Source organism: Homo sapiens, chromosome 1 (assembly GCF_000001405.40).
Source record: "Homo sapiens chromosome 1, GRCh38.p14 Primary Assembly".
Classification (NCBI taxonomy): Eukaryota; Metazoa; Chordata; class Mammalia; order Primates; family Hominidae; genus Homo; species Homo sapiens.
The window spans coordinates 19,340,434-19,364,668 of record NC_000001.11 but is presented as its reverse complement, the minus strand read 5'-3'; the positions used below and the strand labels follow the sequence as shown (position 1 = coordinate 19,364,668).

The 24,235-nt window shown below is 52.5% G+C and overlaps 1 protein-coding gene across 9 annotated transcripts in view, besides 7 other annotated features; it reads left to right on the top strand.

Moving 5' to 3' along the window:
- The window catches only part of CAPZB (capping actin protein of muscle Z-line subunit beta), a 146,765-nt gene that overhangs the window by 120,871 nt on the left and 1,659 nt on the right, over nucleotides 1–24,235 (top strand). For 5 of the 9 annotated variants that reach the window (NM_001206540.3, XM_011542228.4, XM_006710938.5 and 2 more), the window contains exons 5-9: nucleotides 7,106–7,247; nucleotides 7,918–8,034; nucleotides 19,417–19,482; nucleotides 20,235–20,311; nucleotides 21,805–21,917. In NM_001206540.3, the coding sequence (NP_001193469.1) occupies nucleotides 7,106–7,247; nucleotides 7,918–8,034; nucleotides 19,417–19,482; nucleotides 20,235–20,311; nucleotides 21,805–21,907 (505 nt within the window). In that variant the 3' untranslated portion in view covers nucleotides 21,908–21,917. The remainder of the gene's footprint in view (nucleotides 1–7,105; nucleotides 7,248–7,917; nucleotides 8,035–19,416; nucleotides 19,483–20,234; nucleotides 20,312–21,804; nucleotides 21,918–24,235) is intronic. The other 4 variants (NM_004930.5, NM_001282162.2, XM_047431397.1 and 1 more) reach the window with 2 other exon arrangements.
- Nucleotides 5,201–5,701: an enhancer, noted in NCBI's record as "H3K4me1 hESC enhancer chr1:19685462-19685962 (GRCh37/hg19 assembly coordinates)". NCBI's record gives its function as "activates a minimal SCP1, AML or CMV promoter by ChIP-STARR-seq in primed H9 embryonic stem cells {active_cell/tissue: H9 hESC(primed)}" and the evidence as "EXISTENCE:reporter gene assay evidence [ECO:0000049][PMID:30033119]".
- Nucleotides 7,073–7,242: an enhancer, noted in NCBI's record as "experimental_1531 CRE fragment used in MPRA reporter constructs". NCBI's record gives its function as "activates a minimal promoter by MPRAs in K562 erythroleukemia cells, with activity observed for both the introgressed and non-introgressed 1:19684006 variant alleles {active_cell/tissue: K562}" and the evidence as "EXISTENCE:reporter gene assay evidence [ECO:0000049][PMID:34662402]".
- Nucleotides 7,666–8,166: an enhancer, noted in NCBI's record as "H3K4me1 hESC enhancer chr1:19682997-19683497 (GRCh37/hg19 assembly coordinates)". NCBI's record gives its function as "activates a minimal SCP1, AML or CMV promoter by ChIP-STARR-seq in primed H9 embryonic stem cells {active_cell/tissue: H9 hESC(primed)}" and the evidence as "EXISTENCE:reporter gene assay evidence [ECO:0000049][PMID:30033119]".
- Nucleotides 8,167–8,667: an enhancer, noted in NCBI's record as "H3K4me1 hESC enhancer chr1:19682496-19682996 (GRCh37/hg19 assembly coordinates)". NCBI's record gives its function as "activates a minimal SCP1, AML or CMV promoter by ChIP-STARR-seq in naive and primed H9 embryonic stem cells {active_cell/tissue: H9 hESC(naive and primed)}" and the evidence as "EXISTENCE:reporter gene assay evidence [ECO:0000049][PMID:30033119]".
- Nucleotides 10,742–11,426: an enhancer, noted in NCBI's record as "OCT4-NANOG-H3K27ac-H3K4me1 hESC enhancer chr1:19679737-19680421 (GRCh37/hg19 assembly coordinates)". NCBI's record gives its function as "activates a minimal SCP1, AML or CMV promoter by ChIP-STARR-seq in primed H9 embryonic stem cells {active_cell/tissue: H9 hESC(primed)}" and the evidence as "EXISTENCE:reporter gene assay evidence [ECO:0000049][PMID:30033119]".
- Nucleotides 20,197–20,246: an enhancer, noted in NCBI's record as "active region_299". NCBI's record gives its function as "activates an Ori minimal core promoter by ATAC-STARR-seq in GM12878 lymphoblastoid cells {active_cell/tissue: GM12878}" and the evidence as "EXISTENCE:reporter gene assay evidence [ECO:0000049][PMID:35858748]".
- Nucleotides 22,943–23,917: an enhancer, noted in NCBI's record as "H3K4me1 hESC enhancer chr1:19667246-19668220 (GRCh37/hg19 assembly coordinates)". NCBI's record gives its function as "activates a minimal SCP1, AML or CMV promoter by ChIP-STARR-seq in primed H9 embryonic stem cells {active_cell/tissue: H9 hESC(primed)}" and the evidence as "EXISTENCE:reporter gene assay evidence [ECO:0000049][PMID:30033119]".

Here is a 24,235-nt window from a genome sequence, read left to right as displayed (position 1 = left end):
TTCTGTTCTTTTATGAAGGACATTGACAAGCTGGAGTATGTTCAGAAGGATAAACAAGGTATTGAGTCGTATGAGGAATTACAAGGAGGAGAAGGCCAGAAAAGAGAAATCTTGGTGTAAGCCAGTTTTAAATGTTTGAAAGGACTATGCAAGGAAAGGGCATGAAGTCCTTGTTTTTTTGTGATTCTGGAAGGCAGTAGTGAGAAGTCTTCACTCAAGTCCAGAGAGAACTGTCTCAGTTGTTCAGAACAGAAATGTTTGCCTCAGGAATGTAATGAGTTCACTGTCACTGGAGGTGTGTAAGCAGCAGTTTGACAGAGACTAAGATGTTAGGAACCTGCCCTGTGGTGCTCAGTCTGCCTCATACAGGCCCTGATGCAACCACCAAATCCTGGAATGTCAGAACTGGGAGGACCCTCTACGCTGGCCTCTGATCCAGCTCTTTGATTTTACAAATAAGAAAAAAGTCTTTTGCACTGTGTTGGTGCCAAATATTGCCTTTCCCTTGGCTTTATTCAGTGAAGTTGACTGCAAGAGAAAGCCCTGTTCCAGCACCTATGGAGCTCACCTTAATAATGCCCCTAACTTGGCTGCTGCCTGTGCCTCAGCGTCACAGGTATCTCAGGCCAGAGGTCCAAGTCCTGTGAGTGTGGCCCAGCCCACTAATAGCCAGAAGGACATGTCTCAGTGAACCCTAGAACCACAGAGTCTGTTTCTTGGCTCATGCTGGAAAGCCCTGCTCCCAGCAGGTCTGTCCTGGCCTTGGTTCTTGTGGCATGTGGCATGTACTCATTATCTGTTGGGAGCCTTTGTATTCGAGCCACGAATCCAGCTCTTCTCCCAGGAGGTGATGTGAAAGGAAGGAGTAAAGAGCAGCTTCAAAGCCCCTTCTTCCCCTCCCGTTTTCCCTGTTAGATTTGCAGCCCCGTGTTGGCCAGGCCTGGGAATTGGGTCATTCATAGTTACAGCTCAGATTCCCCGAGCACGTTTCCACCCCACGCACACCTCAGCTTCAGACACTCCATAAAGCTTTTGGAGCTGAAACATTTTCTTTTCTTTTTACTTTTGTGAATTAGGTCATTTTGAGTGTGAAGTATTATGTTTTCCCTTTTTTCTCCTTCCCCCCAGAAGTCCTGTGGTTGAAAAGTTACGGACATAGAATCTATATCCGTGACTATGACATTATTCAACTGGAAGAGTGATTTTCAGGGAGAAACGACCTAAAACTCTGAGAAGAAGAGAATTACTGACACATTAGGCTTTTAGCTGATCCACGTTTAGGGACCAAGGTGACGATAGACAAAAACCCAACCAGATGTTTAATTGTAATTGGCTGTGCTGATAAACGGCTTGAGACCAGCCTGGGCAACATAGCAAGACCCTGTCTCTAAAAAAAAAAAAAAAAAAATTTTTTTTTTAATTAGCCATGCATGGTGGTGCATGCCTGTGGTCCCAGCTGCTTGGGAGGCTGGGGAAGGAGGATCACTTGAACCCAGGAAGTCGAGGCTGCAGTGAGCGGTGATCGCACCACCACACTCCAGCCTGGGCATCAAAGCAAGACCCTGTCTCAAAAAACAAAACAAGATGTTAATCTGTGTTAGGAAAGTCTTAAAAGGCGCCGGGACCGTTGGTAAAACTGATGGCACTCAGTTGAAAGAGTTAGCTCTTCAGTGGACGCAAGCAAACAGGTGACTCCAGCACTTTGCTCCCAGTCATTCCCAAGTTGGTCTGTCATTTCACCCCCTCCTCATCTTCCTGGAGCTTCTGAGGCCCCCCCACTTCATGGTTCAACACTTGTCCAAGTTGACTTCTCTGCAGTCTTTGCAAGCTAGTCCCTGTGTTGTCCTGGCCACTGGGGAGCTCTGATTTGAGCATGTCATTCAGCCTCTTGACTGTGGGGATTGATTTCAGCCCTGTGCTGCCCGTGCTGTCTGGCTTTCCATTTAGGAAAGAAGCCTAGGAAAAGCTCATGCATTTCTCTTTGGGCCTCCACGGTTTTTTTTTTCTTTCTTTTTTCTTTTTTTTATAGAGGCTGGCCTCGAACTCCTGGGCTCAAGCAGTCCTCCCACCTCAGCCTCCCAAAGTGCTAGGATTACAGGTGTGAGCCACTGCGCCTGGTCCTAGGCCTGCATGTTTAAAAGAGGTTCTTGACCAGACGTGGTGGCTCACGCCTGTAATCCCAACACTGAGTGGAGACCGAGGCCAGGAGTTAGAGACCAGCCTGGGCAACATGGTGAGACCCAGTCTCTACTAAAAATACAATAATTATCCAGGCATGTTGGCAGACCCCTGGAATCCCAGCTACTTGGGAAGCTGAAGCAGGAGAATCACTTGAACCCGGGAAGTGGAGGTCGCAGTGAGCTGAGGTCATGCCACTGCACTCCAGCCTGGGCGACAGAGCGAGACTCTGTCTCAAAAAAATAAAATAAAGCACTCCAGCCTGGGCGACAGAGAGACTCTGTCTCAAAAAAATATAATAAAAATTTCCCCCTTCTACCTCCTTGACCAGAGACCTCACTGCAGGGACTCTCTGGGATTTTCCTCTTGAGCCCAAATCAGCTGAGCTGTGGTAGTGAGTCCTGGGCCCATTCCTCCCTCCCTGCAGAGTTGGGAGATTTTGAAATTATCAGGCATGGGCAGGGGCCAGGGCAGGGCGGATTAATTCCTCTGCAGCCTGCTCTCAGCGCTTGGCCACATTTGATCATTCACTCACATGGAAGTACAAGGCCTGAGAGTGAGTCGCTGGCGATGGTAGAGCCACCTTATTGAAATAGCATGTTAGCATTTAAACAATATTAATACTATTTGACTCATTAAATATACAAAGACCAGTTAAACTGCTTCCATGTATGTGCTGTTAATTCTGGCGGGCGACTCCTCAGATGGCTTTATGTGGTTTCAGACAACGTTTTAGCACATTCTTAAAATACCCACAAAAGCCTTTATGTAAAAACTCATAAATGCAAACCACATAAAAATTATTTTTTCCTTGTTTCATATCATTATGATCAAAGTACAGTAGGTAAGAAATAAATTTTCAAAAACGTGTTGTGGTCCCCCTTTAATTAATGCTTCACGCGCAGAGCAAAGCCATAAACCATGTAGCGGGGGCGCTGTCTGTGCGCCCTGCAGTCACCTCCCTCCTGAAGGTGCCGGAGCGCCCTGATGGCACTCGCAGGAGAGGCTGGTGCTTCTGGGCAATTCTGAAACAGGCCTTTCTAACCATGCAGTCCTCTGCTCCCTTTGTCTCGGAATGTCAGGTTGAGACTTGTGGCTGCTCCAGTCCCTGGAGATCCCTTTTGGTGAATGGAATGCAAGTCCATTCTTGAATTATTGTAGTGTTTGAGCTGTACCTGCAGAGGCCAGGTCTCAGCACGTCTGACTCACCTCAGTTGGAACACCCCGATTCAGAGAGGGAACAGATTCGAAGTGAGAGATTGACCACGCCGCCTCTAACTCTGTCGCCGTTGTTTCTTTATTAAAAGTCAGATTGATGGTAAATTAGGATACTACCCGACTGAATACTATCCTTGCTGTTAAAAATGATTATGGAGATCATGCGGCTCCATGGAAAAATGCTAATGATTCTGTGCCAAGTGTAAAAAGCCAAATTCAGCATGGTACTCTTGCTGTGCTTACAGTTATATAAAAGTCATGCATCTGGACTGGAAGGGAATTTGGAAAAATCAGATTTATGGGATAAGTTGATTTATGGCATTGTGGGCTAATTTTCAGATTTCCTTTTTTAAAAAACAATAATGTTCCTGCAGTAAGTTTTAAAATTGTGGGTAAAAGAATAGTAACCCCACAAGGAGTGACAATTGAGCTTGCATTTTTACCTCCCCTGGCTCCAGCATTTGAAACTTTAGACCTGGTCACCGTGGCCCGCCAAGGAGAAGCTGCCCGTAGTGGGAGCCAGGCCACAGGGTGGGACATTGGAGTGGAAACGGCCAGTTCCACCCTATAAAACTTTAATGCGGTTGTTTTATTTTTCTGGAAGAAATGAAACGCTCAGGGATGGGACTGAGGGGAAGCAGCCGTGGGCCACCTGGTGCTTTTGAACTGGTCACCGGAGGGTGTCGACAAGGGCTGTCAGGCCATCGGGATTTCTCCTGGTTCCCCTCCAGGGCATCCTGACCTGCATCTCCCCAGTGTCCCAGCACACAGAGGAGAGCAAGCCTTGGGCAGGCACAGCACCGCAGCTCTGCATGGATCTGTGAAGGAGTGGAAGGATGAAATGCCCCTGGGCTGCAAGCCTTCTTTCCAGAAGGGCTGAAGGAAAGAACGGATTATTGGCCCATCCTTTTTGCCAGCAAAGTAGGGTTTTTTTGTTTGTTTTTCTTCCCCCTCTTTTGATGTGGGGCTGCTCTCCCTGTAAGCCGACTGAAAGGGAAAACGGTGTGCTAGAACCAAGCCATCTGTTGCCAACAGGAAGGGTATTAGCAGGTCTGTTATGAGTTGCTCTTCCGTTGGTAGTATTGATGTGCCTCGTAAGTTAACTTGCAAGAATCCAGGAGAACAAGCCAGAAAGGCTCACGGAGCCCATGCTGCCAGTCATCTGAGCCCTGCTAACCCTCAGGTCCAGCAGGGGCAGTCCATCCCTCTCCAGGTGTTCCAGGAACATTGCAGAATGGCCTGATCTCTCCAACTCTGTGTGGGCCCGGTCCAGACCAGGAGGGCTCTATGGAGGCAGATGGGGTTTTGGGCCCTGGACCAAAACACTCATCTGCTTACCTCGCCTCGCCCCAAGAATGGGGACTTTGGAGCAGACCGGAATAAAGGAAATGATCTTCTGGAGTGGGATCTCTGAGTGCCAGTGTTGGCCGGTTTCCTGGACATCACCTCTGCCAGCAGTGAGCTCTGGGCCTCACAGGTGTGTCTGTTCATCCAGTGGTCCTTTTCCTCTCGTAGGAAAGGATGCCTGTGCTGCACCTGGCCAGAGCCAGACCCTTCCCCACCCTGCGCAGTTTGACCAGCGATGGGCTCAGCATCTGACACCTGACACCTCCATCCGACAGGTGTTCCCTGAGTGACACTTGGTTAGCCAGACAGCCCTGCCCTCATCTGCCCTCCTGTAGACTCACCCGTGGACACACCATGGTGTACTCGGTTTGAGAGCTTAATCATAGTGGGTAGTGCCGGAGAGGGGAATGGGACAGGATGTGGTCCTGCCGCAGGGGCTGGCCGCAGCCTGCCTGAGGGAGCCCTGGGCAGGGGGCCAAGGGTAGCCCACCTGAGTATCGGCCCCCTGGATGCTCCGCAGGTCTGCGGGTTGGAGTGAGGGCAGACCAGCCAGGGCACCCTCATTCTCCTGGGAGGATGCCTTGCTTTCTTGGTCTGGTGGTCTCTTAGTTACATTACACTCCGGTGTATTCGTGTACTGATTTTTCACAAAAGCTTTTTAGTTTGGAATGGTATGACTTACTGTAAAATTGCAAAAAAAAAAAAAAAAAAAAAAGAGTACAGAGAATTCTTGTATACCCATCACCCACATTCTGTAAATGTGTATTTTTTGTTATATAATAGCTTTGGTGAGACATAATCTACAGATACATGTTAATTTCTAGTACTTAATTTTACATTAACCGTTTGGCAGGTGTCTACTTTTCCTAATTGTTTTTGTCTCTCAACAGCCGTAGAAAGTAGATTAAGTCCCTGAGGCCCATATTCACACCGCTGGTCCCTTAGTAAATAGTTGTTGGACGCATGCATGCATGAGCATAACTCATAGCTGGGCGTGCTAGAGCTGTCATTGGGTCTGTCTGACTCCCAAGCCTGTACCCACCCAGTGCACTCTGCGGCCCACCTTCCCAGCTGTCCAGGGCTGAGGGCAGGGTGCTCCCAGAATGCACCTGCCACACCGTGGCTTTGGGGCTTAATAGGTGTCAGAGAGGCCCCAGACTTTCTGATAAAGATGTGCTCACCACGAGAGATGAGATTTCTCTCTTTGGGGCTTAATTGGGGTCGGAGAGGCTACAGACTTTCGCCACAAGAAATGAGATTTCGCATAGTTTTTGTTGGTTATCAACAGCATTTGCGGTTCCCATCAGCTGACTCCACCCCTCACCTCTGCTCACGGCAGTCCCAGTGAGCCACAGTAGTTGACCTGGGTCTGTTGGGTTTGGGATCCCAGACTGATTCCCATTTCTCATCTAACCTTTTCGTTCCCTCTTCCATTTGATCGTAATTAGAAATCCCTCTTCCATTTGATTATAATTAGAAATGTTTCTGGGCCAGGCGCAGTGGCTCATGCCTGTAATCCCAGCACTTTGGGAGGCTGAGGCGGGTGGATCACTTGAGGTCAGGGTTTTGAGACCAGCCTGGCCAACATGGCAAAACCCCATCTCTACTAAAAATACAGAAATTAGCCAAGTGCAGTGGTGCACACCTGTGATCCCAGCTACTCAGGAGGTTGAGGCAGGAGAATCGTTTGAACCTGGGAGGCGGAGGTTGCAGTGAGCCGAGATGGTGCCACTGCACTCCAGCCTGGGAGATGGTGAGGCTTCATCTCAAAAACAGAAAAAAAGAAAAGATGTTTTTGCATTGCGTCGGATTTGAGGAGGAAGCACTGTCTCAAGCTGAGCCCTTCATTTCCGGCTAGCGCTTTGTAGGAGGTTGCTCCGAAAGACCAACTGGAGCCCTGGTCTGCCAGGCTCAGGAGGGATCAGGGTGTAGGGAGTTTGTTGCTGTATTTTCTCATCTGCCCTGTAAAATATCCCAAAAGACAGAAATATCGAACAACCGTGGTGACTCCAGTAGTCATGGCCTGCATGGATTGTCACTGGATGTCAGTCGTGCTGCATTCTTTATCTGGGAGGAGTGTGACGCCCAGAGAGGTTCAGTAAGCCAAAGACCACACAGATAGAGGAGGTGGCAGAGTCCAACCTCAGATTCATCTTTATGACGCCTAAACCTACTACACCCCCAGGAATGCTGCACCCCCTCCCCCAGCCACAGAACGATCAGAACACACCCAAGGATCGGCTCCCATAACTGTCGCAGGGAGGGCCCTGAATCCCAGAATCTTTGCTGAGCAGCAGCCTGGGACCCAGGCTGATGATCTGTCCTTTAGCATCTAACAGGCACATTGGCCTGTTTCCTGCAGGTATTTTGAAGGTGGCGTCTCATCTGTCTACCTCTGGGATCTGGATCATGGCTTTGCTGGAGTGATCCTCATAAAGAAGGCTGGAGATGGATCAAAGAAGATCAAAGGCTGCTGGGATTCCATCCACGTGGTAGAAGTGCAGGTACTGCCTCCCAGCAGCTGGTGGCCCGGGCCACTAAGTACAGATGGCACACCAACCAGTGCCGCGCTGCTCTCTAACAGATGCAGTAGGGGGATGCTGTGATCTCTGAACCCCTAATTCTGAGAAATGCCTCAAAGCCATTTGGATAAAGATAAGTCTGCAGTAGTCATTGATGATTAAGTTCCCAGAAGAAATACATAATTACAAATGTCCCTTTAAAAACCAGTTGAGATTTTTTAAGAAAGACAATATTGTGAGGCCAGGTACGGTGGCTCGGGCCTGTAATCCCAGCAGTTTGGGAGGCTGAGGTGGGCAGATCACCGGAGGTCAGGAGTTCAAGACCAGCCTGGCCAATATGGCGAAACCGCATCTCTACCAAAAACACAAAAAACATTAGCCAGGCGTGGTGGCGGGCGCCCATAATCCCAGCTACTTGGGAGGCTGAGGCAGGAGAATCGCTTGAACCTGGGAGGTGGAGGCTGCAGTGACTTGAGATCGCACCACTGCACTCCAGCCTGGGTGACAGAGCGAGACTTTGTCTCCAATTTAAAAAAAAAAAAGGTAATATTGTGATAATGACCTAGGAAGGGAGATGTTAGGATGACCCTGAATTCCAGGGGCCACTTCAGGCTCTCCCTCAGCTCAACAGATCTCTGTCTTGTCCTTCCAGGAGAAATCCAGCGGTCGCACCGCCCATTACAAGTTGACCTCCACGGTGATGCTGTGGCTGCAGACCAACAAATCTGGCTCTGGCACCATGAACCTCGGAGGCAGCCTTACCAGACAGGTAGAGTTACCCGCTCATAGCCACTTGCCAGTGCCCACAGGTGCTGGCCTCAGTGCTGACCTGCAGAGATGAGTGAGCAGGTGCCCCATTTAGGGTAAGCATGTTCAGCCAGCTATAAATCCACCATCTAAGTAGGGCTTTGCATTTTCAAATAAAAGCTCTCTGGGCTGTGCAAGGTTGCCCACAGCTGCTGGCACTCTGCTGGCCTCCTGCTGAGGGAGGCCGGGTGCTGGCTGTGGCTCCTCCTTACCCCTCAGGGCCCCGCACATCCCCATGCTTCAGCTCATGTTGTGCTGTGAGAAGTGGTGCTTGGCCCTGTTTGCCGTCTCTGTGGCCATGCCCAGCCCATCAGTCAGGCCAGCTCTCTGGGAGCAGCTTACCTGAGCTCAGAGTGTCTGCACCTTGCTGCCCTCAGAGTAGTCCAAGGACCAGCATCAGCATCACCAAAGAGCTTGTCAGAAAGGCAGAAATATCAGGTCCCACCCAGACCTAGCATATCAGGATCTCTGTTTTCACAAAATTGCCCAGGTAATGTGTGCACATTGAAATTTCAGAAGTGCCCTACTGGATACCTCTCTCTTATCCATCTTTTGTTTGGGTATCACTAGCAACCCTTCTCCACGATGTTGTTCCCAGGTTCTGTCTAAGGCAAACTTGGACTTGGACTGGAAGGTACTGCCTCCCCTGAGCAAACTTGCCCGCCCTTCTACCTTAGATGCTCCCATAAGCATCTGGGTGGGTTTAAGAACCTTGTATAAAGGTCCATGTTCAGGACCCTTTACATTCCCATCCCAAGAGAAGGCCTTAAACCTGTGCCAGTGCAGTGCCACAAGATGCTTGGCGTAAAGGGGGAAGAGAAAGCATAGACCAAGCACAACTGGGTTTCACAAGGACCCCTCTTTGCCTTCGGAGAAGTCGGTATTGGCAGAAACGGCACAGCCTTGAGAGCCTCAGCGGGGCGCCACTTTCTGCAAGGATGCCCTTCCGTTCTCAGTTCCAGCAGTCCCTGACTGTCCACTGTGAGAATTCCTTTTAACATCAGAGATCTCTTTCGGTAAGATAATTATGCTCTCAATAGCTGTGGATAGAAAAAATATGACCGAAAGGATCGATGCAGTAAAATTTTTTTTTTTTTTTTTTGAGACGGAGTCTCGCTCTGTCACCCAAGCTGGAGTACAGTGGTGTGATCTCGGTTCACTGCAATCTCTGCCTCCCGGGTTCAAGCGATTCTCCTGCCTCAGCCTCCCGAGTAGCTGGGATTACAAGCGTGCACCACCACGCCCAGCTCATTTTTTGTATTTTTAGTAGAGATGGGATTTCACCATGTTGGCCAGGCTGGTCTTGAACTCCTGACCTCAAGTGATCCGCCCACCTCGGTCTCCCAAAGTGTTGGGATTACAGGCATAAGCCACCACACCCGGCCCAGTGTAGTAAATCTTTTAAGTGAATTTGCATTCTACTAGTTACAACAACATCTACATGCATTGAAAAAATAGTGGCGCAAGGTGAATGTCAGCCGTCATACCTGGGACCCTCCCTCCACCTATAGAAGCTCCACTGCCTCTCCTGTGTCAGAGGGGCTGGAGGCCAGAAGGGATGTTGCGGTCCTCTTTTTGGCCTCTGGGCAGGGATGTCACAGTCCCATCCCAGGACTACTCACTAGTGCACACAGGGGGCACTTAGCCTTTTTGCGTGGAAGTGGACTCCTATCTTCCAGGGGCCATTGGCTAGGGAGGAACAGCCAAACCCCCAGGCAGCCAGCTCCCCTGCAGCCTGACTCTCCCACATCCTGCCACCTGGGGAGTGGGTGGAAAATCCTGAATCTGTATCCAGAGACTGCTTCCTGTATCACTTACCACTCCAGGCTGTTGATAATTCCACCCGGTTTACAGTGACCTGGACAAATATTTAATCCTCAGCCCTCCTAATAGTTTAAATCAGAGCTGTCAGCCCATGGCCAGAGTCTGGTTCCGGCTTGCCGTGAGCAGTGTCTCCTGCCAAGCTAAACCCAGGCCTGATGAGTGCCTGTCCTCAGCACACCTTGGCCAGGGCTTCGGACTTTGTTTGCGTTGCCTTTTGCTCTGGGGGCTTTAATGAGGAAATTAATGCTCTGCCATCATTCTAACGGCCGATCACCACATCATTCATTTGAGGTGCATTAAAGCTGGGGCTGGGTTCCAATGTAAGTAACTACAGAAGGGGGAGGGATTGCAATGAGGTAGACAAATCTAAGTTAATGATGCACAGCTTCTGAGCAAACAGGGGAAGTGAGGGTTGCAGAGCTTGGCTACGGGTCCCAGAGGAGCCTTGGAAAAACGCCTGTGCTTGTTTGGATGGGAGGCGAAGGGTTCTGGGAGAAGTGAGCAGCTCAGTGAGCATGAACATGCATGGTTTGCAGGCTGTCCCCTTGGATTAGATTGTAACCAAGGTCAAGTTATTCTCATTTAACAGGTGAGGAAACTGAAGTTCAAACTTAAATAATTTGCCCATATAATTTAACCAGTAAGAAGCAAAGCTGGGATGTGAACCCAGATTTGCCTGGTGAGAAAAAAATATGCTACTTTCTACCATGCCACAACTGTTTTGGTCTTAATTCGTCCTCTGTGCCTGCCATTCGGTGACTGCTAAATAGTCAGATGGAAGTGCATGGAGCAGTCAGCTCAGTGTAGACAGGACTCTGTCTCAGCAGCCGGCATGAGCAGCTGCAGTGGACCTGTAGCCTCAGGAGCAAGCAGGCCCCGCAAGCAGGATCAACCCTGCAGAGCCGCACACGGCGTCAAGGCTCCCCAGGTGTGTGCTGAGCAGCGCTGCCCTCTGGGCCCCTCCCGCAGGTGTGCCTTTGTCTTTCAGGATGATCTCCTGCTGGAAGCCACTTGGCCACTGGGGTGTGTTCACTACTAGAGGCTGTCAGGAGGGCTTTGAGGTTTCTAGGGAGTCCAATGATCTGATTGGATCTGTGTTTTCAGAAGGTGGCTCTGCCAGTCGGCTTGGGGGATGGGTGGTCAGGGGGAAGCTGTTACAGTCATCAAGGAGAGAGATGACAAGGGCCTGGATCAGGCAGCCCTGGGAGGGTCAGAGGGGACAGCCCTGCAGCAGAGAGGTCAGTGAAGAAGCTAGTGTCAGTCTGAGGCATGAGGTGGCAAGGGCAGAAACAGAAGGGCAGGGGAAGAGGGGCAGGCTGGGGGGCATTCTGGCGTGGCGTGGTCAGGGGCTGGACGACCAAGATGTGAGGTGGGGGTCAGATGAGAGCCCCTCACTCGAGTTCCTCCTTACACAGTCCTTACAGCAACCTGGGCCTGGGTTTTTCCTCTGGAAACCTGGCCTCATCCAGGTCACCCACGCTCACATGCCCTTGCCCCACGTGTGTCAGGAAGGAAGGCTGCTTGGTTTTGGAGCTGTCTCCCCAGGCCCACAGTGCCAGGCCCTAGCCCCAAGAGCCATCCCAGCCAGCATCAGCACCCTCAGCAAGGCCCCATGGGTCCTCAGCTTTCCCAGGGTCCTGTGGCCCAGCCTGCCTCACCCCGGCAGCAGCGGCAGCTGCCCTTCCCTGTGTGTGGCCCCGGGCGCACCCTTGTCTTCCTGTTTCCCACGGCCCATCTGGAGAAGGCCGCCAGCTTTGGCTTGCTGGCACCTCGCAGGGGTCCCTTCCGTGGGCACATCAGGCTATGCCCTGTGCCCACTCGTGCCCCAGTGTAGGCGGCTGGTGGTAGGCCAGTGGCCGGGGCAGAGCGCCACTCTCCTGGGCACGTGGCCTGCCAGCCAGCCAGAACACAGCCAGACCAGGCGATGCTGCCTCCACCTAGCCCTGCCTCCATCATTTTCGGCTTTTACTTCTCCCACCTCCAACCACCAAAAGATGTTTCTCAGGGACGTCAACTGGAAGACAAGGTAAACAGCTAAAGTATTCTGGCAAATTCCCGCAGCAGTGAGGCTGTCGGAGTGAAGGTGAGCCGCAGGCCGGCCGGATCATACCTTCCTGCCCAGGCTTGTGGATGTGTGTGAGGAAAGGCGGGCAGAAGGTACCCTCTGGTACACTGCCACGTGGCCCCCCATGGGAGGGTTGTAGAGCAAGCGAAAAAAGGTTGCAAGCCCCAAGTTCCAAAATGTTGAAAAGGAAGTTGTACTGAGAGGTCACTTCTCCTATGTGACAGCAGAGACGTGGGAAAGAGGCGAGATTGTAAATCTCTGGAAAGAGATCCAAGGTTTCCCATCCGGGGAAGGGCCCTGCAGATGTTCGTTTGATATTTTCTCAGCTTCTAAATATTTAGAAATGAAGGTGGAATGTTTTGTTGAGTGGGGAGATCAGGCAGGTCATTGGCTAGTGAGCAGTCTCTCCCCACTCAGCAGAGACACCCCCAATATATCTTCAGGCAGTAAATCCCCAGTAGAGGCACTTGCCTGTGTATCCTAGCAGGAACATCCTCTTTGACTTGCGTTTGGCAGTTAGGCCAGGCAGTATATTTTTGTCACAGGGAAGAAGCCCATTGCCCTTCCAGATGCAGGGAACAGAGGGTGGGCCGGGCCCAGCTTGGCAGTTCCAGGAGTGCACGCTCGCTGGGGAGGCCTGGCTGCAGCTGCACACCCGCTCCTCGTGTCCTGTGGGGTTGCCTGGGTTCAGGGGTGGAGATGCTTGAGCAGCGCAGCTTCAAGGGGCGTCTGGGTTTTTGCCAGATGACCTGGGGTGGAGTGACCAGTGCCTGGCTGAGAAGGAAAGCTGGCCTGAGACAGGCTCCCCACAACCATCCCGTGCTGTGAAGGGCGGAAACAGGAGACGAAGGGACCGGAGATCCCTGGCAGGAGGCGGCTGAGGCAGGGATGGACCCTGCTCAGGTTTTCTGAGCCCTGGATTGTGGTTTGTCCTTCAGTTTTCTGGTAAAGGATGTATGTGAAATTGAGCCAGCAGAGAGATCTCATAAAAGGAAGCAGGTTTCAGAATCACCCAGACCTTGATTCAGATCCTAGCTCAGGAACTTTCCAGCTGTGTGACCTAGACAGACCTCCACCTCTTTGAAACTCAGTGTTGATAATGCCCATTTTGAAAGATAATAGTTCCAGCACTTTGAGAGGCTGAGGCAAGAAGATTGTTTGGCCAGGGGTTCAAGACCAACCTGGGCAACAGTTGCACTGCCCCCCACCCCTTCACCCCTCCCAACAAAACAAAAAGTTATCTGGGTAGGGTGGCATCTGTGGTCCTAGCTTCTTGGGAGTCTGAGATGGGAGGATCACTTGAGCCCAGGAGTTTGAGGTTATAGTGAGCTATGATTGCACCATTGCATTCCAGCCTGGGCAGCAGAGCAAGACCCTGTCTCTAAAAAACATAATAAACAAATTTTATTAAAAAAAAAAAATGGAAAGATCGGGTGCAGTGGCTCATGCCTGTAATCCCAGCACTTTGGGAGGCCAAGGCAGGTGGATCACGAGGTCAGGAGTTCGAGATCAGCCTGACCAACACGGTGAAACCCCATCTGTACTAAAAATACAAAAATCAGCTGGGTGTGGTGGCATGCACCTGTAATCTCAGCTACTCAGGAGGCTGAGGCAGGAGAATCACTTGAACCCGGGAGGCAGAGGTTGCAGTGAGCCAAGATCGCGCCATTGCACTCCAGCCTGGGCGACAGAGCAAGACTCCATCTCAAAAAAAAAAAAAGGAAAGATCATTGTAGAGTAGAAACAAAAAACTGTTTTACACACAGTTTTATGCTCAATAAATAATAACTTTTGCCAGGCGCGATGGCTCATGCCTGTAATCCCAACACTGGGAGGCCAAGGCAGGCAGATCACTTGAGCTCGAGAGTTTGAGACCAGCCTGGGCAACAAAGTAAGACCCCATCTCTCTACAAAAAATACAAAAATTAGCCAGGTGAGGCAGCAGTGTGCCTGTAGTCCCAGCTATTCAGGAGGCTGAGGTGGGAGGATGGCCTGAACCTGGGAGGCCGAGGTTGCAGTGAGCCGTGGTGACAACACTGTGCTCCAGCCTGGGCAACACAGCCAGACCCTGTCTCAAAAATAAAAATAAAAACAATTACTGCTACTACCATATATCTTGCAAGGAGAGGCTTTTTGAATATGTACAATTCTAGATTCAAAATTTTCCTAAACTGGGCAACCGTAACTTTCCCTGGGAAGCCGTCTGACCACCATCTTCTGGCCTGGCTGCACGCCGGGTCCTGACCTCCAACCCACAGCACAGTGTGGTGACCAGGAGGATGCCAGAGGCCAGAAGAGTGCTGGGGATGGAGCTGTGCTTTGACAATCGGTGAGAGCTGCCATTCTGGCAAGTCCCGCTCTAGGCCTTTTGTGTACATTTGTTTATTTAGTGCGAGGTGAAGGCAAAGACATGGAGGCCTAGACAAGCCCAGGCCCTTTCCTCTCGGGCTGCAGCACAGGAGCTGCGGGGCCTCAGCGCCGGTGAGTGGGGCCCATGCCTTAGGGCCACGCCCTGCGGGTCGCGCTAGAAGATGCCACGTGGCAGTGGGAGGTGTAATACATCCCCTCTGGGGGAAAGGCTGCCAGCTTCCAAACACTTGCCTGTGTTAGGGCCATGGGGAGGAGGAGAGGCGCCTGCTGGGGACACACGGGCCAGGCTCCGGCTTCAGACGCCATTGGAACCACCTCGTGGAACATCTGCAGCCACAACACATGAAAATGTTTTCCTTCCGGCAGCCACTTTTATAAGGATGTAATAATATATGCAGTGCACAAATGGTTCTGTTTTTGGTGGGTTGGTATTGCCACCGAGCCGACCCTGACCAGGTGTGGAGGGGAGTGAGCAGGGGCGGGCAAGGGGGCTGTGGAAATACGGCCGGGTGCACCGAGCCCTGTGCCCCTCACTCCCCAAGCACCTTTCTCCTTCCCTCCCCAGCCGCTGCGTGGCCATTTACGTGGGCTCAGCTTCCCTGCCATGGGCTGAGGGGGCCTGTGTTCTAGGGGATCAGTCTGCTCCTGGGGACAGTGTCGCACACTGCAAGACCCAGCCCTCTCCTCCACCCGACCTCTCCTACCTTTGTTGGCCAAGGGGTTTCGCCTGTTTGTTTTAAGATGGCTCTTGATTCTGAAACACAAAGATGGTAACCAAGAGGCCAAATTGCTGATGTGACTGGACTTGCCCAGGTGACCCAGGACCTTTGCCGATGGCCGCGGCCTCTCTTTGGGCTGTTGGTGCCCATTTAAAATGGGGCCCACAGTGAGCTCAAAACCCTCATCCCTTCCCTAGGGTGGCCGGGAATCTGCCGTCCACATGGAGCCGGGGAGGAGGAGAGACTCTGATTTGCTGGAAGGACCTCATTCATTTCCATCCAACCCCCAGGCTTCCCTGCCTGCCGAGCTGACTCCACCCAGCCCTGAGCCTAGGCACAGTAACCACCTTCACGTCTGGGAGAACACACAGTCCCCGGGGGCCAGCATGCAAAAGTTCTTTTTGAAGCTGGGTGGATGGAGCCCCCTCCCTCCTGAGGGTGCTCCCCAGCTCCTGTTGAGCAGACAGCCCACCCCGTCGTCTTGGCACCAGGGTTTTGCTAGTGGCAGATAAAGATGATGTTCCAGCAGACGCTCCAGTGCTGCCGAGGTTGGTGTGTTTATTAGACCTGAAATGAGAACTGTGACTCTCAAGCTCATGGGCACTCTCACTACTCCTGTTTTATGGAGACCCCCTGGGGTCTGAGGGTCGAGATTCCTCAGGATGACTTGCCAGAGCATGCCAAGACAGATGGGAGCAGAGAAGCCGGTCTTTCTAGCATTTCTCTCCCTCTTTTCCACTAGTCCTCAGTAAAACAGCCTTGCCAGAACCAGATGTCTTTTTTCTGCAGATATTTACTGTTATGACTTGGGAGGCAGCAGGTTCTGGACTGTTGCCCTCACCTAGACCGCCCCCCCCCCTTGTCAGATGCCACCCGTTTTCTCAGACCCGTCGGTCTCCCAGACCACATTGCTTTGTGAGCAGATGCCTGTCAGGGACAGCTCTATCAGAACAGACCGAGTCCAGCCCAGTGAGCCGTGATGTTCTCTCACTGCTCGGTCCCCCCTCTGCCATCTACAGCGACATAGGTTGGGTCTGTTCCCCTGGCAGACAGCAGGCCTTCAGAGCCCTGCCAGAATCTCTTGTGTCTCCCCTAGCACACACACATCCCTCCCCACCCACCACCGCCAGGCCTGGATAGCCCTAGTTCTCTCCCATTTCTTGGTGTCAGGGTGTTCAGACCTTTTAAGCAGATGAATGCTAACTCATTCAAGGCTTTTAAAACCCAGTGCCTTAGCAGGGTACAGTGGCACACACCTGTAGTTACAGCTGTGTGGGAGGATTGCAGGAGTTCCTGTCTAGCCTGGGCAACATAGCAAGACCTCCTTGTCTTTTAAAAGAAAATTAAAAAAAAAAAAGTGCCCTAAACTGAATCCAGCCCTGCAGATGTAGCTGGGCCAGGACAGAACAGAGGGTAACCACTGCCTTCCCAAGCAAGCAATGGAAACTGGCAGCTGCAGTGTCTTCATCACGCGATGGGGTGGGAATGCTGCCCCTTATCTGGGCACAAGGAATAGTGTCATCTGTGCACCTTAAAGTTGCACAAAAGCTTTCCTAGTAGCGACATCTCATCCTTGTCAAACTTGAAATTATCTAAAAACCACAAGTCTCTTCATAGGAACTGTTTGCAAGTCAGCAGTTCCCCATTTTGTACTGCATGAAATGCACCCTTGAGCCTAAATATCTGGCTTGCATTTGCCCTGGTACATTTAACTGGCGTGGTGAAGTAGGAGGAGCAAAGGCGTCGGAATCTAACAGTGCTGTATGATTCTTGCTTCTTTAAGCTTCGGTTTCCTTGGGTTTAAAACAGGGTTCCTAGGAAGCTGAGATGGAAAAAGGTGGCTGCCGCCTGGCTCCATTCCAAGTTGCTGCTCTCGTTCTGTAGCTAGCCCAGGTTTCCGGGTTCCGTATTAACCCTGTGACCATCTCAACCCTTGACACTGTCGATAGGAAGCTGGTCGTTCTCTCAGCTGGGCCTTTACTTAAGTCCTGGACAAACAAGTTGACCAAGGGCAGGCAGAGACTGCTACAGGGTGCCACATAGTGTATGCAGTGCACAAATGGTTCTATTTTTGGTGGGTCGGTGTTGCCAGCGAGCTGACCCTGACCAGGTGTGGAGGGGAGTGGGTGGGGGGCTGTGGAAATGTGGCCAGGTCCCTACCCCTATCGGCAGAGGCTCCATCCTGCCCTTCCTCTCAGCCACAGGTGCAGGATGGTAGATGGGAACTTGCCAGAAGGATGCGACCCTATTTAAGTAGTTGTGTTTTCTTCCAGCCCAGCATCCCCACCAAAACAGGAAAAGAAGTGCTCTCGTGCAGGGCTTGTTCACAGTGAGCCTGGCTGGCTCCTCATGATCTCTGAGTTTAAAATGTGCCAGCAGATGATTTTAACGATCCCATCAAAAATTGTTGTCTGGATCAGTTTCGAGCTAGCGTTTCCTTGCAGAGGCCATTCTTCCTTTTTTGACAAAAGTTGGGTCGGCCAGGTGCAGTGGCTCATACTTGTAATCCCAGCACTTCGGGAGGCTGAGGCAGGTGGATCACCTGAGGTCAGAAGTTCAAGACCAGCCTGGCCAACATGGCAAAACCCTGTCTCTACTAAAAATAAAAAATAAAAATAAAAATAAAAAAAAGCCGGACGTGGTGGTGGGCACCTGTAATCCCAGCTACTGGGGAGGCTGAGGCAGGAGAATCACTTGAACCCAGGAGGCAGAGGTTGCAGTGAGCCAAGATTGCACCATTGCACTCCAGCCTGGGCGACAAGAGCGAAACTCCGTCTCAAAAAAAAAAAAAAAAAAAAAAAGACAAAAGTCGGGTCAGTGCTGCCGCCCCCAGTGTCAAGGATTTCAATCACAGGTCGGTTTTGCCCGACCCTGGAAGCCTGGTCGTTTAAAGTGGCTTGGTTCTCTCCTGCCCTCTGCTCACCCCGCTCTTAACCAGGTTGGTTCCACCTTTCACAGCCTGAAAGTCAGTCTCCCTGATGAGGAGATGTAGAAATAGGTGAGAAGCAACAGAGCCCGTACCCTCTGAGACAGTATCTCCCCCCAGACTCCACCCTGTTCTCCTGGTTCCAAAGAGAGGAACCCACCTTTTGCTGGTTTTTCTTCTGTGGGCCTGGTCTCATTTTGAACTCTACCCTTTCTTTTTTTTTTTTTTTTTTTTTTTTTTAGCTTCTCTCACAAATTTTATTTTATTTTAATAAAGCTTCAAAAATTATAAATAATGTCTAAGCAGATTTAGAATCTCAACAATAAATGCTTAGCCTTAGAGTACTGCATTTTTGTATTATAATTTGATGGCCACTTCTTGCATGGTTTCTACTCTACCCTTTCTGATGCTGTTCTTTTCTTCCTCTTTCTTGATTATTTATTTCAGCTTCCACATTTTATTTCAACAACATTAGTCATCGTAGCTGCGTATTCCTGTTTTCAGTGTAGTAACGTTGAGCATTTATGTTCCTAGCACTCTTCCAGGTACCCTGTGCGTTATGAGGCAGGCACATCTCTCCTGAAAGAATTTATATTCTTGTCAGGGAAATAAGGCTTCAGATAAGAAAAAATTCGGGGGAAAGTGCCGAATTCCTTCTACCCTAACCTGCCTCCATTTCCTCCCTCCTCCGAGTTGAGATGATTGGGTCAGAGCCAGCTCTTCCTGGGCTTGGGAAGAGGAGATGGGGCTTGAGTGCTGCTGCCCCCCTCATAACCTCAGAGTCTATATTGAGACTCTCTTGCTCAAACTCTCCTCGCAGAGTAGAACGAACAGGCCCTGGTGCGAGGAAGGGTTTGACCCAGGCTCTGCCATTGCCACCTGCATGACTAGGGTGAGCCACTGAATCCCTCTGGCCTGAAGTCTCCGTCAGAGGTTGTCTGTCCCTCCCTGCGAGACTGCAGCAGATGGCACCCCAAAGCCACCATTTGGGAGCGCCAGGGCGCAGCAGCAGCACAGAAGCTTCCCCTGCAGTGTCAGGCCCTGAACCTGGGGTGGATGGCCCAGCGTGGGCCTGGGCCTGCCAGTAGAGGCCTGAAGACAAACCGAGTGAGTCTTCTCCAGTTGGCTCGGGTGAGCTGGTGCCTGCCAAGGGCTGCTGCTGTGGCTCTGGGCATCTGCCTGCTCTACCATGGGCAGCAGCAAAATCTTCTCCCTTGGAAGTGGGACTCTGGGCTTCTGCCCTCTGGGCTCTTTATGGTCTGAAACTGAAGTCGGTTTGTGCTTCAGTTCCCAGGCTGCAAAACTGGCCTTGTCATACCTGCAGCTGGCTCCACGGTGGGAACAGTAGGCTCTTTGCAGACCGTGGAGGTGGGGTGGGCTGTCTGCCGTTCTCAGAAATCTCTGGCTTTCTCTGACTTGGAATGTTTCTGTCTTTTGCAGATGGAGAAGGATGAAACTGTGAGTGACTGCTCCCCACACATAGCCAACATCGGGCGCCTGGTAGAGGTGAGTGACCTGGGCTCTGGCTGGCTCCTGCAGTGACCCACAGCAGTGACACTGCAGCCCCGGAGCCGCTGTGCTGGCCTCCTTCTCTGCTGCTTTCTCTCAGCTCCACCGCAGCCGGCAGAGCGCTTCTTGGATTTTGCCCTGGCCTCATATTTTTGGAGCCTCTGATTTGGATGCCAGCAGGCTCCAGCTTCAGGGCCACCTCCTGCTCCACCCCCAGACCTGGGCTCCCAGAAGACTGCTCAGGCGCTGGCTCTGGGGCGCACTAGGTCTTGTCTCCCCTGATCGCCTGGGTGTGAACAGGGCCCTGCGCTGGGAGAGGAAGCAGATCCCAGGAATGCCAGTGGGCCCTGGTGTGGCTTCAGTTGCGGCTGCCTTGGCCCTCCTGTCACCACGTTGTTTGGGAAGGCAGGGAGGTGCTCTCGGGTTTCACAGAATTGTTCACAAAATTAGTGGGGAGCCCAAGGGGTGGTGATGTGGTTTAGAGCAGCTCCCAGGCATGGGCAGAGCTGGCCGCCAATCCCTGGGTACTGGCTTCCTCCCTGCCTGTGGACTGTGGATGGGAAGGTGCCGGGAGCACAGATGGCAGGTGGGGTCTTGGCAGCCTGGAGCGCGCTCACTGATGCCCCAGAGCAGGCGTGTGCCACCCTCCAGTGGCCACACTGGGGACTGCAGGGCTGGCAGGTGGAGGGAGGGCGTGGGCCTCAGGGTTCCTGACCTTTTGCCACTGCGCTGACCGACCTCCCTTCCAGGACATGGAAAATAAAATCAGAAGTACGCTGAACGAGATCTACTTTGGAAAAACAAAGGATATCGTCAATGGGCTGAGGTAATGTACCAGAAAGCACAAGCTTTAGAAGCAGACAGAGGGATTTGAACCCTGGCTCTGCCAGTTACTAGCTGTGTGGTCTTGGGCCTCGGTGTCCTCATTGGTAGGCTGCAGTGCCCCTCTTCTGGGATGATCATTATGTTGATTTTGGAAAGTAAAGTCCTGATGTGTCATCTGCACTCTCCGTAGCAGCTGTCGGTCCCTATCTGCACCATTTGTTTTCTGGGGCATGTTCACCCTAACAGCCATTGGTGCCCTTGCCCCCGGAGCCTCCTCAGCCCTGCAGTTTGTCAGTCCCCGCTCAAAAATCTCCCCACCCTCCAGCCTGGGCCTAGGGGAGCCATGACACCACATTCCGGGCAGCCCGGCTGCCTCTGGCTGGCCTGCTCTCCGAGACAGCAGAGCGCAACGTGCAGGCAGGGCCCTCAGTCCGGGCCTTCTCAGGCCCCCAGCCTCCCTGACGCCACATGCAGGCAGGGCCCTCAGCCTGGGCGTTCTCAGGGGGCCCCAGCCTCTCTGACGTCCTCTGCCAGGGCTCTGCTGCCAGTGGCCAGTGTCCTGCACCATCCTTCCCACCTCGTGCCCTCAGCTCTGCAGTGTCAGCCCAAACAAAAGCCGGGCGCTCTCTGGACCCTCCAGGTCCACGGCGGACAGAGCAGGAGGCAGGCCTCTGACATGAGGCCAGAGCCCAGCTGGGGGCAGTAAACGGCTGTGGAGGGAGCACTGGCCTTGGAGTCAGGAGAGTCAGGAGGCCGGGATCTCCCCTAAGCTCTGTCATCCCGAGCTGCATGGCCTCTGGCACTCCTCGCAGAGGCCCTTGTCCAGTCGAGGAGGCACGGTCGGCTGAGATGATGAATCTAGAACACGCTCTGCAGTCCAGCAGCACCGTGTGAGTCGGGCTGTGCTATGCCTTTAGCGGCCAGCCCTCTCACCCACTGCCGTGGTGTAGCTCTCACAGCCCAGCCCAGAGGAGAGGCAGGCTGCAGTCCCGGGGCTGCCCCAGCTCGTGGACTGGGGTGGGCGACAGATTTCAGTCACCTGCTTTACAGTTTTAAAACAGAGGAGGAGTCCTCTTTGGACCCTTGTCTTCTGATCCCCTGCCCACCTGGGGGAGGCTTGGTCTTCGTGACCTGTGACAGGGTTAGAGCCCAGTGGTCCCTGGCGTTAGGCCTGCCACTGGCAGCCACTGCCCGATACACCAAACACACTTTCCCGCCCAGCCAACCTGCACAGTCCCCAGGCAGTGGCTGGGAAGTGGGGGAGAGAAGCCGAAGAGCCTGCGGGTGGTGGTGGCGAGCCCCTGAATACCACGACCACCGCCAGCGTGGACCTCTGCAGCGGCGATACCACTCCACACCCCAGAGCCGCCACGGCATCCCCCCTTCCGCCTCGTGGGTCTCCCTGAATTTCCTCCTCAGCTGTGGCCCCCTGCGTTCCTGGCTTCTCGTCGTTCTCTTCCCTCCCACTCCACTCATCTTGAACACTCTCTGTAGATCTATTGATGCTATCCCTGACAACCAAAAGTTTAAGCAGTTGCAGAGGGAGCTCTCTCAAGTGCTGACCCAGCGCCAGATCTACATCCAGCCTGATAATTAAGCCGATCCAGGTACCCTGCCTGAGAGCCGCGAGACCCTCCCCACTAAAACAGGACTCACCAACCCGCCGAGACCCTGCCGGTCCGGCTGCTGCTCCGCGGCCATTTAAACCACCACTAACCCCCACGTGTGCTCCCGGTCGGTGCACAGCCACATTCCCGTGTAGCCTCGGCCCCATGTAACACGGCACCTATCACGTGTGTGTGCTTTCCACTCTGGGTGGAGGCTGGGTGTGGGGAAGACGGCTGATTTTTTGGCTTTTGCTTCTGAAGAAGCCCAGGCCAAGGGACGGATGCTGCCTCTCCAGCAGCAGCCACTTGTGTGCACCGGCCTGACTGTCCCCAGGGCAGGGATCTGCCTGCCGTCCACCCCCCCATGCTTCAGAGGAGCCTCTGATGCTGGTGCAGGGATCCCAGAAGCCACATAAGCCTCCCCGCTGCTCAGCGGCACATTGCCTGTCCAGGGCTAGCTGGCTTGGAAGGGGTGACCTCACTCTCTGATCTCTGAGTCTCTGGGGTTGGAGGGCAGAGTCAGGGCTGGACTCCACCCTGGCTGGCCCAGATGCTCTGCTGGAGCTGCCTGGACGCCCAGTGCCGACTCGGCCACAACCAGCATAACCTTCCGCCCCTAACGAGCTGCAGCTGTTCCTTTAAACAGGTTTCGCTAATGGAAAGGAAAATAGTCTTGCTTGTTGGTAATGGCCAAGAACCATGACTTGAGCTTGTGACAGATCCAGATGTAGGGAAGGAGGCAGCATCCCTGGAGAGTAGGAGGGAAACTTGTTTGTAAAAAGAAGGCATTTGGAACCCTGCCAACTGGGGCTGCAGAGCCCAGGTCCAGGGGCTGCGCACTGAAGGCCCACCCCAGAAGGGGTGCAGCAGACTTTCCAAGGTGGAGGTGGGGTCAGGCACTTAGAAAACCAGGTGGAGCTGCTTTTCCGAGGCCGTGGGACTTAAGTGCACCAGTCTGGTCTGTGTGTGCCAACTTAAGGCCCACGACTCGGGTCAGCCTCACAGTGTGGCCATCAGGCATTTCCATCATGGCATTGAGAAAAAACTCTTTTTAAGATACACCGTGATGGTGCAGTTCCCTGGCCGCCCACTGGGGGCGTCCTGGCGTAGAAACCCTGGCAGCCAGGTCTGCTCAAGATGACTCCTCCCTCCCACAGAGTCGAGCACTGTCTCCAAGCGCTGATTCGAGGTTGCTTGGCCGTGACCTTCCCAAGCATTGTCCCTTAAATAAGCCCCCTGCTCCTTCCGCCTTCCACCATTTCACTTCTAACTTCCTGTGTCTAACATGATTCTAGCTCTGGAACTTTCTCCTTCGTGTGATCCAGCCAAGACCTGGCGGGCTTGGCTCTTCCTTCCCAGAAGAGCCAGTGACCACCCAGGCTAGAGGTCCTGTGCGCTGCTGCTTTGCCCGCCGCATCTCCCGCTGGCCATGTTGACCTCCCGCTGTGAGCTTGGCAAGAAGCCCCTGGGGAATCGGCTGAGATTTGGAGCCTGGGGGCCGTGGGGGCTGATGCCTTTGGCCGCCGCAGAGCCAGGGACAGTCCTGGGAAGATACTCAGAAACGTGTATTTCCCCAGCATGAACCAAATGTCTGCGTTTCTCCTGGGAGTTTTTTCAGTTGTATGCAGCTTGCTTCCAGGTCTTGTCTTATGGCACCTGCTGAGTATTTTGAGGGCTCTTCCTGTGACTTGTAGGGATTCGGTAGCCAGAACTCAGTCTGGGTGCTGTTGCTTCTCCTGGGCCCTGCTTCACTTCCATTTGCCCATTTTTGCTTCTGGGGATTGATTTTTCTGATTCTTCCTTCCCATGGCTGGTGTGAATCAAACGTGAGAGTCCGGCTGAGTGCACTCTCCGTAGCACTCTTCTTGAGCAGCCCTCTACCCACTCTTTCCACTGCTTCTAAACTGTTATAAAACCTACATTTAGGAAGTCTTTGCCTAACCAATATGTTGGGTAAATTTGACAAAATGATTAAAGAATTGCTAGGGGGGCATTCCTCTGAGCCTCAGTTTCCTCATCTGTAAATTGGGTTGATAGCTTTTTTCTTTTTTAAGCCTTGACTTCGCTTTTTGTTGTTGTCGTTGTAGAGATGGGGTCTCACTATGTTGCCCAGGCTGGTCTTGAACTCCTGGCCTTAAATGATCCTCCTGCCTTGGCCTCCCAAAGTGCTGGGATTACAGGCTTGAGCCACCACATCCGGCCGGGTTGATAGTTGAGACTTCCCCAGGATGCCCGTGAAAATTAAATGAGATAATATATGTGAAAGGCGTTTTGTAAACTGTGAAATCTCCATAAGCCTTCATTGTTTCTGGCTTTGT